This window comes from Homo sapiens, chromosome 10, assembly GCF_000001405.40.
Source record: "Homo sapiens chromosome 10, GRCh38.p14 Primary Assembly".
In the NCBI taxonomy this organism is placed as follows: Eukaryota; Metazoa; Chordata; class Mammalia; order Primates; family Hominidae; genus Homo; species Homo sapiens.
Window position 1 is genome coordinate 73,320,212 of NC_000010.11, and position 16,611 is coordinate 73,336,822.

Below are 16,611 nucleotides of genomic sequence, written 5' to 3' on the forward strand. Positions count from 1 at the left end.
TCTTTAATATTCATTTTTATAGTCTTCACATTTAACTTATTTTAATAAATTCATTTGAAATTTATTTTGATCTATATTATATGTAACATTTGCATTCTTTTCTCTCATTTTTTTTATTTTTAATTTTTTTTGAGACAAGGTCTCACTCTGTCACTCAGGCGGAGTACAGTAGAACAATCACAGCTCACTGCAGCCTTGACCTCCTTGGCTCCATCCATCCTCCTACCTCAGCCTCTGGAGTAGCTGGGACTACAGGAATGTGCCACCATGCTCTGCTAATTAAAAAAAAATTTTTTTTGTAGAGATAGGGTCCTGCTATTTTGCCCTGGGTGGTCTTGAACTCCTGGGCTCAAGTGATCCTCCCACCTCAGCCTCCTGAAATGCTGGGATTACAGGTGTGAGCCACCATGCCCAGCCTTCTTTCCCATTTAACTATCTATAAAACATTAATAATTATCCTTTTTTTTTTTTTCTTGAGAGGGAGTCTCGCTCTGTCTCCAGGCTGGAGTGCAGTGGCACAATCTCGGCTCACTGAAACCTCTGCTTCCCAGGTTCGAGCAATTCTCCTGCCTCAGCCTCCTGATAGCTGGAACTACAGGCACACAACATCACGCCCAGCAAATTTTTGTATTTTTAGTAAAGACAGGGTTTCACCATGTTGGCCAGGATGGTCTCAAGCTCTTGACCTCAGGTGATCCGCCCGCCTCGGCCTCCTAGAGTGCTGGGATTATAGGCGTGGCCTATAAAGTATTATTTTTAATGGCTACATATTTCATCATTTTTACTTACTATGATTTACTAAGCCTTCCTCTATTAGTAAACATTTAACCTCATTTTTAGTTTTTGCTATTATAGGTTTCAAAAAGTTTTCATGAATATGAGATTTTTGAACCTATTAAATTATGTCCTTAAAATAAATTCCTGGCCGGGCGCAGTGGCTCATGCCTGTAATCCCAGCACTTTGGGAGGCCAAGGTGGGTGGATCATCTGAGGTCAGGAGTTTAAGACCAGCCTGTCTAACATGGTGAAACCTAGTTTCTACTAAAGATACAAAAAAATAGCCGGGCGTGGTAGCATGCACCTGTAATCCCAGCTACTTGGGAAGCTGAGGCAGGAGAATTGCTTGAACCCGGGAGAAAGAGGTTGCAGTAAGCCGAGATCACGCCATTGCACTCCAGCTTGGGCAACACAGCGAGACTCCATCTCAAAAACAAATAAATGAATTCCTATAAATGTGGCTTCTAGTTCAAAAGATACTGATGTAGAAACAGTTTACTACTCAGTTAGTGTACAACTAGATGATGGGGTTTTCATAAATTTATTACTGAAAAATAGCTGTCCTAATAACAGTGACATAATAATAGATTTTTGTTATTGTTGTGTGTTTTACAAAGCCTCATTTTCTCCTAGGAAGCAACATGATGAAACTGATTTTTTGCTCGAATATATGATTTTAACATTTTTACACCTAAAAATGGAAAAAAAAAATTATAGTTCATATTCTAGTTCATTAATTACCACATGGATTTCAGTTTTTCCATATTTAACAACAACAGACTTTTTTTTTCTTTTTCTTATATATATATTTTTAAGACAGAGTCTTGCTCTGTTGCCCAGGCTGTAATGAAGTTGTGCAATTTCAGCTCACTGTAACCTCCGCCTCCCAGGTTCAAGCAATTCTCTTGCCTCAGCCTCCTGAGTGGCTGGGATTACAGATGCCTGCCACCACACTCGGCAAATTTTTGTATTTTTAGTAGAGACGGGTTTTTGCCATGTTGGCCAGGCTGGTTTCCAACTCTTGGCCTCAGGCAATCTGCCTGCCTCTGCCTCCCACAGTGCTGGGATTACAGGTGTGAGCCACCACACCCAGTCACACTTAAAATGCTGAAAGTTTTGTATCCAAATTTATTGAGGTAAAATTAAAGTACAATAAAAAATAAACCATACATATTTAAAGTATATCATTTCATCAATTTTGACATATGTGTATATGTATGAAACCATCATCACAATCAAGATAACCATCATTTCCATCATCCCTAATATTTTCCTCTCATTCCTTTGTAATACATCCCTCCTTCTATCCCTGTTCCCAGGTAACCATTAATCTGCTTTTTATCAATATAGATAAATTATTTTCCCAGAATTGCATATAAATGTAATTATATAAAATGTACTTTTCAAGACCCTGTCTCTATTTTAAAAAATGTTTTTAAATAGCCAGGCACAGTGGTGCACATCTGTAGTCCCAGCTATTCAAAAGGCTGAGGCAGGAGGATCCCTTGAGCCCAGGAATTTGAGGCAGTAGTGAGCTATGATTGTGCCACTGCACTCCAAAGTGAGACCCACATCTCTAAAAAAAAAAAAAAAAAAAAAGTACTCTCTTTTCTCTCTTTTGTCTGGCTTCTTTCATTTAGCATAATGCATTTTAGTCTGTGCTGTTGCATGTATCATTAGCTCATTTCTTTTTATTGTTGAGTAGTATTCCATCATACAGAGGTACCACACAATTTGTTTTTCTGTGTTCTCTGTTCACCTGTTGATAGAGATTTAGGTTTTCAGTTTTTGTCCTTTCATTATCCTAAATTTTTAAAGGTCCAATGCAGAATGACTGTAAGGCTATATATTTAATATCCTAGTATACCAACTGGTTCTAAATATCAGTTGCAAAGATGTATATGCTAAAGATGTAAGTAAACAGATATATAAAGGATAAATTACCATGATGATTTTTATGCAATTTTTTCTTACCTTTTCATGGACTACACTGTCTAGGTAAGGGTAAACATGAAAAGCTCCCCGAATTCTCTTCACACCTGGATACAACAATGGGACCATATTAACATAAGCCACACCATGAAACGAAAGCTGAGCTTCTTCATCAGTCTAAAGGAATAAAACCAGAGAGTTGTTAGTGCTATAAGCAATGTAATATAAGGTATGGAGCTCTGACTCAGCAGTTCAAAGGCCTGGTTTTAGAAACTAACTCAACTACTTAGCCAGTTATGTGACTTTGGGCCAGTTACATAAGACATTTTGGGCCTTCTTTATCTTCAAAATGGGTTTAATAATACCATGATCACTGAGAAAATGCATATAAACAGTGTTAATGGCGGGGGCGGGGGGGGGGCAGCCAAGATGGCCGAATAGGAACAGCTCCGGTCTATAGCTCCCAGCGTGAGCGACGCAGAAGATGGGTGATTTCTGCATTTCCATCTGAGGTACCGGGTTCATCTCACTAGGGGGTGCCAGACAGTGGGCACAGGTCAGTGGGTGCAGCGCACCGTGTGCGAGCTGAAGCAGGGCGAGGCACTGCCTCACTCGGGAAGCGCAAGGGGTCAGGGAGTTCCCTTTCCTAGTCAAAGAAAGGGGTGACAGACGGCACCTGGAAAATTGGGTCACTCCCACCCTAATACTGCGCTTTTGCCGACGGGCTTAAAAAATGGCACACCAAGAGATTATATCCCGCACCTGGCTTGGAGGGTCCTATGCCCATGGAGTCTCACTCATTGCTAGCACAGCAGTCTGAGATCAAACTGCAAGGCAGCAGCAAGGCTGGGGGAGGGGTGCCCCCCATTGCCCAGGCTTGCTTAGGTAAACAAAGCAGCCAGGAAGCTCCAACTGGGTGGAGCCCACCACAGCTCAAGGAGGCCTGCCTGCCTCTGTAGGCTCCACCTCTGGGGGCAGGGGGCAGGTCACAGACAAACAAAAAGACAGCAGTAACCTCTGCAGACTTAAATGTCCCTGTCTGACAGCTTTGAAGAGAGCAGTGGTTCTCCCAGCACGCAGCTGGAGATCTGAGAACGGGCACACTGCCTCTTCAAGTGGGTCCCTGACCCCTGACCCCCGAGCAGCCTAACTGGGAGGCACCCCCTAGTAGGGGCAGACTGACACCTCACACTGCCGGGTACTCCTCTGAGACAAAACTTCCAGAGGAACGATCAGACAGCAGCATTCGTGGTTCATGAAAATCCGCTGTTCTGCAGCCACCGCTGCTGATACCCAGGCAAACAGGGTCTGGAGTGGACCTCTAGCAAACTTCAACAGATCTGCAGCTGAGGGTCCTGTCTGTTAGAAGGAAAACTAACAAACAGAAAGGACATCCACACCAGAAACCCATCTGTACATCACCATCGTCAAAGACCAAAAGTAGATAAAACCACAAAGATGGGGAAAAAACAGAGCAGAAAAACTGGAAACTCTAAAAAGCAGAGTGCCTCTCCTACTCCAAAGGAACGCAGTTCCTCACCAGCAATGGAACAAAGCTGGACGGAGAATGACTTTGACGAGTTGAGAGAAGAAGGCTTCAGACGATCAAACTACTCCGAGCTACAGGAGGAAATTCAAACCAAAGGCAAAGAAGTTAAAAACTTTGAAAAAAATTTAGACGAATATATAACTAGAATAACCAATACAGAGAAGTGCTTAAAGGAGCTGATGGAGCTGAAAGCCAAGGCTCGAGAACTACGTGAAGAATGCAGAAGCCTCAGGAGCCGATGTGATCAACTGGAAGAAGGAGTATCAGTGATGGAAGATGAAATGAACAAAATGAAGTGAGAAGGGAAGTTTAGAGAAAAAAGAATAAAAAGAAACAAACAAAGCCTCCAAGAAATATGGGACTATGTGAAAAGACCAAATCTACGTCTGATTGGTGTACCTGAAAGTGACAGGGAGAATGGAACCAAGTTGGAAAACACTCTGCAGGATATCATCCAGGAGAACTTCCCCAATCTAGCAAGGCAGGCTAACATTCAGATTCAGGAAATACAGAGAATGCCACAAAGATACTCCTTGAGAAGAGCAGCTCCAAGACACATAATTGTCAGATTCACCAAAGTTGAAATGAAGGAAAAAATGTTAAGGGCAGCCACAGAGAAAGGTCAGGTTACCCACAAAGGGAAGCCCATCAGACTAACAGCGGATCTGTTGGCAGAAACTCTACAAGCCAGAAGAGAGTGGGGGCCAATATTCAACATTCTTAAAGAAAAGAATTTTCAACACAGAATTTCATATCCAGCCAAACTAAGCTTCATAAGTGAAGGAGAAATAAAATACTTTACAGACAAGCAAATGCTGAGAGATTTTGTCACCACCAGGCCTGCCCTAAAAGAGCTCCTGAAGGAAGCACTAAACATGGAAAGGAACAACCGGTACCAGCCGCTGCAAAATCATGCCAAATTGTAAAGACCATTGAGGCTAGGAAGAAACTGCATCAACTAATGAGCAAAATAACCAGCTAACATCATAATGACGGGATCAAGTTCACACATAACAATATTAACCTTAAATGTAAATGGGCTAAATGCTCCAATTAAAAGACACAGACTGGCAAATTGGATAAAGAGTCAAGACCCATCAGTGTGCTGTATTCAGGAAACCCATCTCACGTGCAGGGACACACATAGGCTCAAAATAAAAGGATGGAGGAAGATCTACCAAGCAAATGGAAAACAAAAAAAGGCAAGGGTTGCAATCCTAGTCTCTGATAAAACAGACTTTAAACCAACAAAGATCAAAAGAGACAAAGAAGGCCATTACATAATGGTAAAGGGATCAATTCAACAAGAAGAGCTAACTATCCTAAATATATATGCACCCAATACAGGAGCACCCACATTCATAAAGCAAGTCCTGAGTGACCTACAAAGAGACTTAGACTCCCACACAATAATAATGAGAGACTTTAACACCCCACTGTCAACATTAGACAGATCAACGAGACAGAAAGTTAACAAGGATACCCAGGAATTGAACTCAGCTCTGCACCAAGTAGACCTAATAGACATCTACAGAACTCTCCACCCCAAATCAACAGAATATACATTTTTTTCAGCACCACACCACACCTATTCCAAAATTGACCACATAGTTGGAAGTAAAGCTCTTCTCAGCAAATGTAAAAGAACAGAAATTATAACAACCGTCTCTCAGACCACAGTGCAATCAAACTAGAACTCAGGATTAAGAAACTCACTCAAAACTGCTCAACTACATGGAAACTGAACAACCTGCTCCTGAATGACTATTGGGTACGTAACAAAATGAAGGCAGAAATAAAGATGTTCTTTGAAACCAACGAGAACAAAGACACAACATACCAGAATCTCTGGGACACATTCAAAGCAGTGTGTAGAGGGAAATTTATAGCACTAAATGCCCACAAGAGAAAGCAGGAAAGATCCAAAATTGACACCCTAACATCACAATTAAAAGAACTAGAAAAGCAAGAGCAAACACATTCAAAAGCTAGCAGAAGGCAAGAAATAACTAAAATCAGAGCAGAACTGAAGGAAATAGAGACACAAAAAACCCTTCAAAAAATTAATGAATCCAGGAGCTGGTTTTTTGAAAGGATCAACAAAATTGATAGACTGCTAGCAAGACTAATAAAGAAGAAAAGAGAGAAGAATCAAATAGATGCAATAAAAAATGATAAAGGGGATATCACCACCGATCCCACAGAGATACAAACTACCATCAGAGAATAGGATGAACACCTCTACACAAACAAACTAGAAAATCTAGAAGAAATGGATAAATTCCTCGACACATACACCCTCCCAAGACTAAACCAGGAAGAACTTGAATCTCTGAATAGACCAATAACAGGCTCTGAAATTGTGGCAATAATCAATAGCTTACCAACCAAAAAGAGTCCAGGACCAGATGGATTCACAGCCAAATTCTACCAGAGGTACAAGGAGGAACTGGTACCATTCCTTCTGAAACTATTCCAATCAATAGAAAAAGAGGGAATCCTCCCTAACTCATTTTATGAGGCCAGCATCATCCTGATACCAAAGCCTGGCAGAGACACAACCAAAAAAGATAATTTTAGACCAATATCCTTGATGAACATTGATGCAAAAATCCTCAATAAAATACTGGCAAACCGAATCCAGCAGCACATCAAAAAGCTTATCCACCATGATCAAGTGGGCTTCATCCCTGGGATGCAAGGCTGGTTCAATATACGCAAATCAATAAATGTAATCCAGCATATAAACAGAACCAAAGACAAAAACCACATGATTATCTCAAAAGATGCAGAAAAGGCCTTTGACAAAATTCAACAACCCTTCATGCTAAAAACTCTCAATAAATTAGGTATTGATGGGACGTATCTCAAAATAATAAGAGCTATCTATGACAAACCCACAGCCAGTATCATACTGAATGGGCAAAAACTGGAAGCCTTCCCTTTGAAAACTGGCACAAGACAGGGATGCCCTCTCTCACCACTCCTCTTCAACATAGTGTTGGAATTTCTGGCCAGGGCAATTAGGCAGGAGAAGGAAATAAAGGGTATTCAATTAGGAAAAGAGGAAGTCAAATTGTCCCTGTTTGCAGATGACATGATTGTATATCTAGAAAACCCCATTGTCTCAGCCCAAAATCTCCTTAAGCTGATAAGCAACTTCAGCAAAGTCTCAGGATACAAAATCAATATGCAAAAATCACAAGCATTCTTATACACCAATAACAGACAAACAGACAGCCAAATCATGAGTGAATTCCCATTCACAATTGCTTCAAAGAGAATAAAATACCTAGGAATCCAACTTACAAGGGATGTGAAGGACCTCTTCAAGGAGAACTACAAACCACTGCTCAACAAAATAAAAGAGGATACAAAGAAATGGAAGAACATTCCATGCTCATGGGTAGGAAGAATCAATATCGTGAAAATGGCCATACTGCCCAAGGTAATTTACAGATTCAATGCCATCCCCATCAAGCTACCAATGACTTTCTTCACAGAATTGGAAAAAACTACTTTAAAGTTGTTATGGAACCAAAAAAGAGCTCGCATCGCCAAGTCAATCCTAAGCCAAAAGAACAAAGCTGGAGGCATCATGCTACCTGACTTCAAACTATACTACAAGTCTACGGTAACCAAAACAGCATGGTACTGGTACCAAAACAGAGATATAGATCAATGGAACAGAACAGAGCCCTGAGAAATAACACCGCATATCTACAACTATCTGATCTTTGACAAACCTGAGAAAAACAAGCAATGGGGAAAGGATTCCCTATTTAATAAATGGTGCTGGGAAAACTGGCTAGCCATATGGAGAAAGCTGAAACTGGATCCCTTCCTTACACCTTATACAAAAATTAATTCAAGATGGATTAAAGACTTAAACGTTAGACCTAAAACCATAAAAACTCTAGAAGAAAACCTAGGCATTACCATTCAGGACATAGGCATGGGCAAGGACTTCATGTCTAAAACACCAAAAGCAATGGCAACAAAAGCCAAAATTGACAAATGGGATCTAATTAAACTCAAGAGCTTCTGCACAGCAAAAGAAACTACCATCAGAGTGAACAGGCAACCTACAAAATGGGAGAAAATTTTCTCAACCTACTCATCTGACAAAGGGCTAATATCCAGAATCTACAATGAACTCAAACAAATTTACAAGAAAAAAACAAACAACCCCATCAAAAAGTGGGCGAAGGACATGAACAGACACTTCTCAAAAGAAGACATTTATGCAGCCAAAAAACACATGAAAAAATGCTCACCATCACTGGCCATCAGAGAAATGCAAACTAAAACCACAATGAGATACCATCTCACACCAGTTAGAATGGCAATCATTAAAAAGTCAGGAAACAACAGGTACTGGAGAGGATGTGGAGAAATAGGAACACTTTTACACTGTTGGTGGGACTGTAAACTAGTTCAACCATTGTGGAAGTCAGTGTGGCGATTCCTCAGGGATCTAGAACTAGAAATACCATTTGACCCAGCCATCCCATTACTGGGTATATACCCAAAGGACTATAAATCATGCTGCTATAAAGACACATGCACACATATGTTTATTGCGGCACTATTCACAATAGCAAAGACTTGGAACCAACCCAAATGTCCAACAATGATAGACTGGATTAAGAAAATGTGGCACATATACACCGTGGAATACTATGTAGCCATAAAAAATGATGAGTTCATGTCCTTTGTAGGGACATGGATGAAATTGGAAACCATCACTCTCAGCAAACTATTGCAAGGACAAAAAACCAAACACCGCATGTTCTCACTCATAGGTGGGAACTGAACAATGAGAACACATGGACACAGGAAGGGGAACATCACACTTTGGGGACGGTTGTGGGGTCGGGGGAGCGGGGAGGGATAGCATTAAGAGATATACCTAATGCTAAATGACGAGTTAATGGGTGCAGCACACCAGCACGGCACATGCATACATATGTAACTAACCTGCACATTGTGTACATGTACCCTAAAACTTAAAGTATAATAATAATAAAATAAACATAAACAAACAAACAAACAAAAAAACAGTGTTAATAGTAAAGGCAGTAGTTGAATCAATACATACTCAAATTAATTGATATATATATTCAACCAAAAAGTCAATTTCACCATGCGGCTTCTTAGCAGAAAGTGAAGCTTTATAAAAAACAACAATAACAATAACAAAAAACTTAAAAGGAATCAGAAGCTATGGCTTTTACCTTTAGTTCACAGACTCATACAAATAAAAGGGACCTTACAAATTATGTGGACCAGTGATGACAAAAAGGCTTTAACTTATGTCTAAATTCTCATTAATGGTGGAGGTGTTTTAGCATAGTTGGCTGAGAAAAATTCTCTGTATTTATCTTGGTTCAAAAGGAAAGAGTGCTTTGATTGATTAGCACTATCTACCATGGATGAAGGCGGACGAATGACAGTCTCCTGTCATGTATTTACCATACTTGATCTCATCTAAACTTTCATTGCAAAGATGAAGAACATGTTAATAAATATATTTTAACAGCGTTTTAAATGGTTGTATGGTTTGCCACAGAAAATTTTTATAGAGAAAAAGATCAATTTTGTGAAAGAAAATAAATTTAATTCCAAGCATAAAAATAATCTCTTTGATTTCATCTATTATAATAATAATTGGCAACTAGACTTAAAAGTCCTACACTTGGCTGGGTGCAGTGGCTCACACCTATAATCCCAGCACTTTGGGAGGCTGAGGCGGGTGGATCATGAGGTCAGGAGTTCGAGACCAGCCTGACCAACATGGTGAAGCCCTGTCTCTGCTAAAAATACAAAAATTAGCCGGGCGTGGTGGTGTGTGCCTATAATCCCAGCTACTCAGGAGGCTGAGGCAGGAGAATCGTTTGAACCCAGGAGGCAGAGGTTGCAGTGAGCCAAGATTGTGCCACTGTACTCCAGCCTAGGCGACAGAGTAAGACTCCATCACAAAAAAAAAAAAAAAAAAGTCCTATGTTCATGAGATAATATGTAGTTTTGAAATCTAAGGAAAGTTAGCCAATACTTACATACTACAAAGGGAGAAATGGTTACCTAGTGATAGTATTTTTATTATGCAAAAAGCCTATGTTTAAAGTCAGCCAAACAATTTAGATACTTATTAAATGGTCTGCTATTTGCCGTACATCATGCTAGGTACCATGGAGGATGCAAATCAGCTTACTACATGACCCCTACTCTCAGGGAGTTTATGAACAAGCAGAAAAGACCAGACATGCACAGGTAAAACAATAGATAATATGTACTAGGCTCATCAAAGCTATACCTTTTAAAAACAGTAGTATATCTAAGATCCCTATTACACTAATTAGCAGGCTAAAACATTTTAAGAAGGCAAGTTTAACCTATGGTAAAACTATTGTGAAGGGCCAAAGAGAAATAGGATATCTGGTAATAAAGCCTAGAGAGTCTTTAGTGAACAACGGGGAACTAGGGTGGTCAATAATCCTGGTTTTTCCCACGACAGAGGATTTTCCTGGGACATGAGACTTTCAGTGCTAAAACAAGTGACATTCAAGGCAAATCAGAATGAGCTAGTCACCCTTAGGAGAACAGCTATGTTCACATTTTCTTTTGGTATCAGAATTGAAGCAGAATAACAGGTCGGGTCTGATTCTACATTTCTTATATAAATATTTTTGAGGGGGCATATTTACCTTTTCAGTTTTGCCAGCTTTCCCTTTGGGTATAGTGACCAGAGGAACTCTTGTGATCTCTACAGGCCAAAGCCGGCAATCGGCAATTCGCTTCTGAAAACTGCAAATCAAGAATCAGTCCATTAGCATTATATGCAAAAATAAAGTCAGTATAATTTAGGTTAAAGGGAAATATTCTCTTTTAGAAAGTAATATAGAATATACATATATAAAAATTGGGGGGCTCGGCTCAGTGGCTCATGCCTGTAAATGCCAGCACTTTGAGAGGCCAAGGCAGGTAGATGGCTTGAACCCAGGTGTTTGAGATGGTCTGAGCAACATGCCAAAATTCCATCTCTATGAAAAATACAAAAAATTAGCTGGGCATGGCAGTGAATACCTGTGGTCCCAGCTATTTGAGGAGGCTGAGGTGGGAGGATGGCTTGAGCTCAGGAGGTCAAGGCTATAGTGAGCCGTGATGGTGCTATTGCACTCTCACCTGGGCCACCGTGAGACCCTGTCTCAAAAAAAAAATTTTTTTTCTTACTGGGTTGGTGGTTTTTAAAACTTTCCCAAATCTATAACATTCCAAAAATAATTCTGCTCAACTTCTAGTGAGGCAAACTGAACATTGTTAGAGCAATTTAACAATATGAATCAAAAACCTTAAAAATATCCATAATCATTGACTACAAATTCTACTTCTAGTGATTTATTCTAAAGAAATAATCAGACAAGTTTACAAATGGTATAAAATTGGTTATTTCTATTGTGAAAATAGTATCCAGTTTCAGCTCCAATACAGCTTTGAAGTAATCCCACCTGTACTTGCAACAAGAAAAAAGTTGATCGAATTGAAATAAATAACATTTCTTAGATCCATCATAGAATTGAGGTCACAAGGCAAAAACTGCCATCCTGAAATTGAGAGAGACAAGGAAAACACAGAGGATCACAGCTGCAGTCAGCTTAAAGACAGCAGAAGTCAATGGTGCCAGCAACTGGTAGAAATAGTTTAATGATAATTTTGACAAATTGCTGGAGGCTAAATGTGGACTAGCTGGGAGTGAAAAACTCCAGGGGGCCCACTGTTAAGGGTCCCCACACTTACATAAGTTTTAAATCCAGGAGCCCCACCAAGTTCTCACAGTGAAGATAGAAGAAAAATACCCTCATATTTCAGGCAGGGAGAGAAGAAAAGTAACCATTTTGAAATATGGCCACAGTGTTCTCCCTATCAAAGGGTTGATCTTTAAGGGAAACTACTTTACCAGATCCTTATCTGATCTCAGGGAAGGGCATTTAGACAACTCCAACCTGTCTAGCTTCCACAGGGATAGGAGGAAAAAAAGATTATCAAACACTTCTGAAAGTCACAGCCCAGGTTACCCAAACCTATTTACTGAGACGTAATCACAGGTTATAGAATACTTCTCCCCGACAATTTGCCACCACATCAACAGAGTTTCAATATAATAACAATGAATTACAACTGAGAGGGCTACAAACCCCTCTATTAGAGAAGTTCTTGGGCAAATCCAAAGACAACAGGGGAGGTGGGGGAAAAAGGAAACTGAAGCCTCTGGCACTTACAACTATAGCAAACAAGAAACACAACCCAGCTCCTAACCAGATTAACATAAAACCTCACACTAAAAATACTAGTTACCCCAATTCCTATTACCCAATATATAATGGCTAGCTTCCAAATTAAAGGGCTATAAAGAATGCTAAAAGGCAAGAAAAAATATAGTCCAAATAGACAAAGCTACTATAAGACCTAGACTAAGATATGACATAGATTTTGGAATTATCAGATAGGAAATGTAAAGTAACTATAATTATGTTAAAGACTCTTACAGAAAAAGTAGGCAACATGCAAGAACAGATGGGTAATGTAAGCAGAGATGGAAACTCTAAGAAAGAATCAAAAGGAAATGCTAGATATCAAAAACACAAACAAAAATGAATAATTCATTTGATGGGCTTATCAGTTGACTGGACATGGCTGAGGAAAATAAAATCAGTGAATGTGAGTATATGTGAATAGAAATTCCCCAAACTGAAATGCAAAGGAAGAAAAATGAAAACAAAAAATCATAACAGAATATCCAAGACTTGTGGAACAATTACAAAAGGTGTAATTAGGCATAACAGAAGAAGAAAGAAAAGAGCAGAAGAAATATTTGAAGTAATAATAGCTAAGAATTTTCCAAAATTAACTGACAGACACCAAACCACAGATCCAGGAATCTCAGAGAATACCAAGCAGAATAAGGACAAAAACAAACAAACAACTATATCTAGGCATATCATTTTCAAACTGCAAAAAAAAAAATCTTGAAAAAACCAGAGGAAAAACACTTTACCTACAGAAGAACAAGGATTAGAAATACATTGGACTTCTCTTCAGAAACCATGCAAGCAAGAAGACAGTAGCGCAAACTATTTAAAGTTGTGAAAGAAAAACCCGCCAACTTAGAATTCCGTACCTAATAAAATTATCCTTCAAACCTAAAGGAGAAATAAACCCTTTCTCAAACAAACAAAAATGAGAGGAGTTTCTGGCCAGTAGACATGCCTTACAAGAAATGCTAAAAGTTCTTTAGAGAGAAGGAAAATGACATGGGTCAAAAAACTTGTATCAACATAAGAAAGAGCATCAGGAAATATCATAAATGAAGGTAAAATAAATTTGTTAATGTTTTTTATTCTTAATTGATCTGATAACTATTTGTTCAAGGTAATAATGGCAACAATGTATCCTCAATAAAATATTAGCAAATCAAAGCTAACAATGTATAAAAAAGAATTATACACCATGACCAAGTGGGTGACCAGGGGTATATAAAAACTCTCTAAAATATCTGCTCAATTTTTCTGCTCGATTTTTCTGTAAATCTAAAGCTGTCCTAAAAAAACAGATATTCATTTTTTTAAAGTCAGAGTTGTTCATTCATATTGTATATATATTGGTAATCCCTCAATTCTCATCTATCTCTAACAACCAGGTCACTGTGATGAAGACTGATAGTTACCTACACAATATCAGTGTACCTGTTCTTTAGTAATTAAATCTTGATTTAGCCTGGGTGACAATGTGTTCAACTAAAACACTTTATTGTCTAGCCTTCTTGCATCTAGAGGTTGGCTAATGAGACATAAACAGAAGTTGCCAGATTCCAGGAAGGTTCCAGAAGAGGGGTTAAGACAGGCAGCATGTGTCCTTTTTAATCCATAACCATTCTCCTCTTCCAAATTTCTGCCAGAAATGTGAGCGTGCAAGCTGGAGCTCCAGCAGCCACCTTTGCACCATGATACAACCTTGTGGATGGAAGTCACATAGTTAAGAAGGTAGAACAAAAGGAAAGACGGAGCCTGGATACCTAATAACACTGTGTAACCATCATACATACCAATTCTGGACTCTTTTTTTTTTTTTTGAGATGGAGTCTCACTCTGTCGCCAGGCTGGAATGCAGTGGCGTGATCTCGGCTCACTACAACCTCCACCTCCTGGGTTCAAGCGATTCTCCTGCCTCAGCCTCTCGAGTAGCTGGGACTACAGGTGAGCACCACCATGCCCAGCTAATTTTTGTATTTTTAGTAGAGACGGGGTTTCACCATGTTGGCCAGGATGGTCTCAATCTCTTGACCTCATGATCCACCCGCCTCGGCCTTTCAAAGAGCTGGGATTACAGTTGTGAGCCATTGCACCTGGCCGAGTTTTTTTTTTTTTTTTTTTAAGAGACAAGGTGTCACTCCATTGCCCAGGCTAGAGTGCAGTGACGCAATCACAGCTCACTGCAGCCTCAACCTCCTGGGCTCAAGCAATCCTATCATGTCAGCCTCACAAGTAGTAAGACTACAGGTACGTATCTGCACCAAACTAATTTCTTCTTCTTCTTTTTTTTTTTTTTTTTTTTGTGAGCCAGGGTCTTACTTTGTTGCCCAGGCTGGTCTTGAACTCTTGGCTTCCAGAGATCCTCCTGCCTCCCAAAGTGCTGGCATTATAGGCATGAGCCACCAGGCCCAGCTCAGACTTCTTTTATATAAAAGAGGAATAAGCATTCACCTTGGTTAAACCACCATCACTAGCTGTTTCTGTTATTAGCAGATGAACACAACATCACTCTAATATATAGATGTGATAAATGAGAAAGTCTCAATCTAAAATCACCTTAACTCAAATATAAATAAAATTAACAAAAGTAACATTTCTTCCCACCTACAAGCCTTTGTGGGTTAGACATATGTCCTTCCTCTTCTTCTTACCTGACCACTGCAGAAGGATCAAGGTAGCAGCGACTTTCCAAGTCCCAAATAATCCTTTTCTTTATGCACTCTGCTTGATTCCTAAATTCGCTGTCCTGTAAAATATAAATACTTCTGTTCTCGGTATGTGTGCCATGACTTCATTCTGCTCCATCTATAGGGCATTCTTTTAATGGATTTGTTCACAATACTTTTCTTAGTATTATTACTACTATAAGTATGACTACTATTGCAACTACTACCACCACCTTAAAATTATGAGTACTTTATTAATAAAGTATATAAGATAAGATAAATTACATATATAATAGTTACATTGATCCAGTACTAAGATCCAAATACTGACTAACAACCTCAATCAATGATTCTCAACTCTAGATGCATATTAAAATCATCTGGAGTTTTTGTTTTTTTTTTTTTAAACACCTGGACCCGGTGCAGTGGCTCACACCTGTAATCCCAACACTTTAGGAGGCCAAGGCAGGAGTACTGCTTGAGGCCAGGAGTTCAAGACCAGGCTGGCAACAAAGTGAGACCTCCATCTCTAAAAATAATTTAAAAATTAGCTAAGTGTGGTGGCATGAGCCTGTGGTCCCAGCTACTCACGAGGCTGAGGCAGGAGGATTGCTTGAGCCTAGGAGGTTGAGGCTACAATGAGCCTCAATAATCGCACCATTGCATTCCAGCCTGGGTGACAGAGACCCTGTCTCAAAAAAAAAAAAAGGAAAAAACACCTGGCATTGGTACTATTTTAAAAGTAAATTCTTACATAGTTTACCTGGGTTAAGACTTGGCCATTGTCATTGTTTTAAACGCTTTCCTGGTGACTGTAATGTGCAGCCAGGGTTGAGAATTAACAATCTAAACTGAAACATAAAATATAATTTGAATGTCTAAAATAAAATGTCTGATCTAAATTAAAATATAAATCTAAGAAAAGTATGAATTTTCACTAATCACAATGATGAGAAAAGATAATGCACAGTGTTTTTCCAATATTCCTAGCCTCAGGTCTACTATTTTAAATATTTAGTCAGACAATGAAAAATAATTCAACCATCCTCATTTTACAAATTATTTTATTAAATGTTTCCATCAGTGGATTATCAGCTCATTCGAGAAACATTTGCAAGTGTGTTATACTATTTTCCTTTTTTTTTTTTTTTTTTTTTGAGACAGAGTCTCGCTCTGTCGCCCAGGCTGGAGTGCAGTGGCGCGATCTCGGCTCACTGCAAGCTCTGCCTCCTGGGTTCACGCCATTCTCCTGCCTCAGCCTCTGTGGAGTAGCTGGGACTACAGGCGCACGCCACCACGCCCGGCTAATTTTTTGTATTTTTTTTAGTAGAGACAGGGTTTCACCGTGGTCTCGATCTCCTGACCTCGTGCTCAGCCT

At 39.5% G+C, this 16,611-nt stretch overlaps 1 protein-coding gene across 22 annotated transcripts in view; it reads right to left on the reverse strand.

Moving 5' to 3' along the window:
- The window catches only part of CFAP70 (cilia and flagella associated protein 70), a 109,218-nt gene that overhangs the window by 66,450 nt on the left and 26,157 nt on the right, over window positions 1-16,611 (reverse strand). For all 22 annotated transcript variants that reach the window (XM_047424551.1, XM_017015627.2, XM_017015621.2 and 19 more), the window contains 3 exons: window positions 15,219-15,313; window positions 10,966-11,065; window positions 2,752-2,886 (listed from right to left, as the gene is read on the reverse strand). In XM_047424551.1, the coding sequence (XP_047280507.1) occupies window positions 2,752-2,886; window positions 10,966-11,065; window positions 15,219-15,313 (330 nt within the window). The remainder of the gene's footprint in view (window positions 1-2,751; window positions 2,887-10,965; window positions 11,066-15,218; window positions 15,314-16,611) is intronic.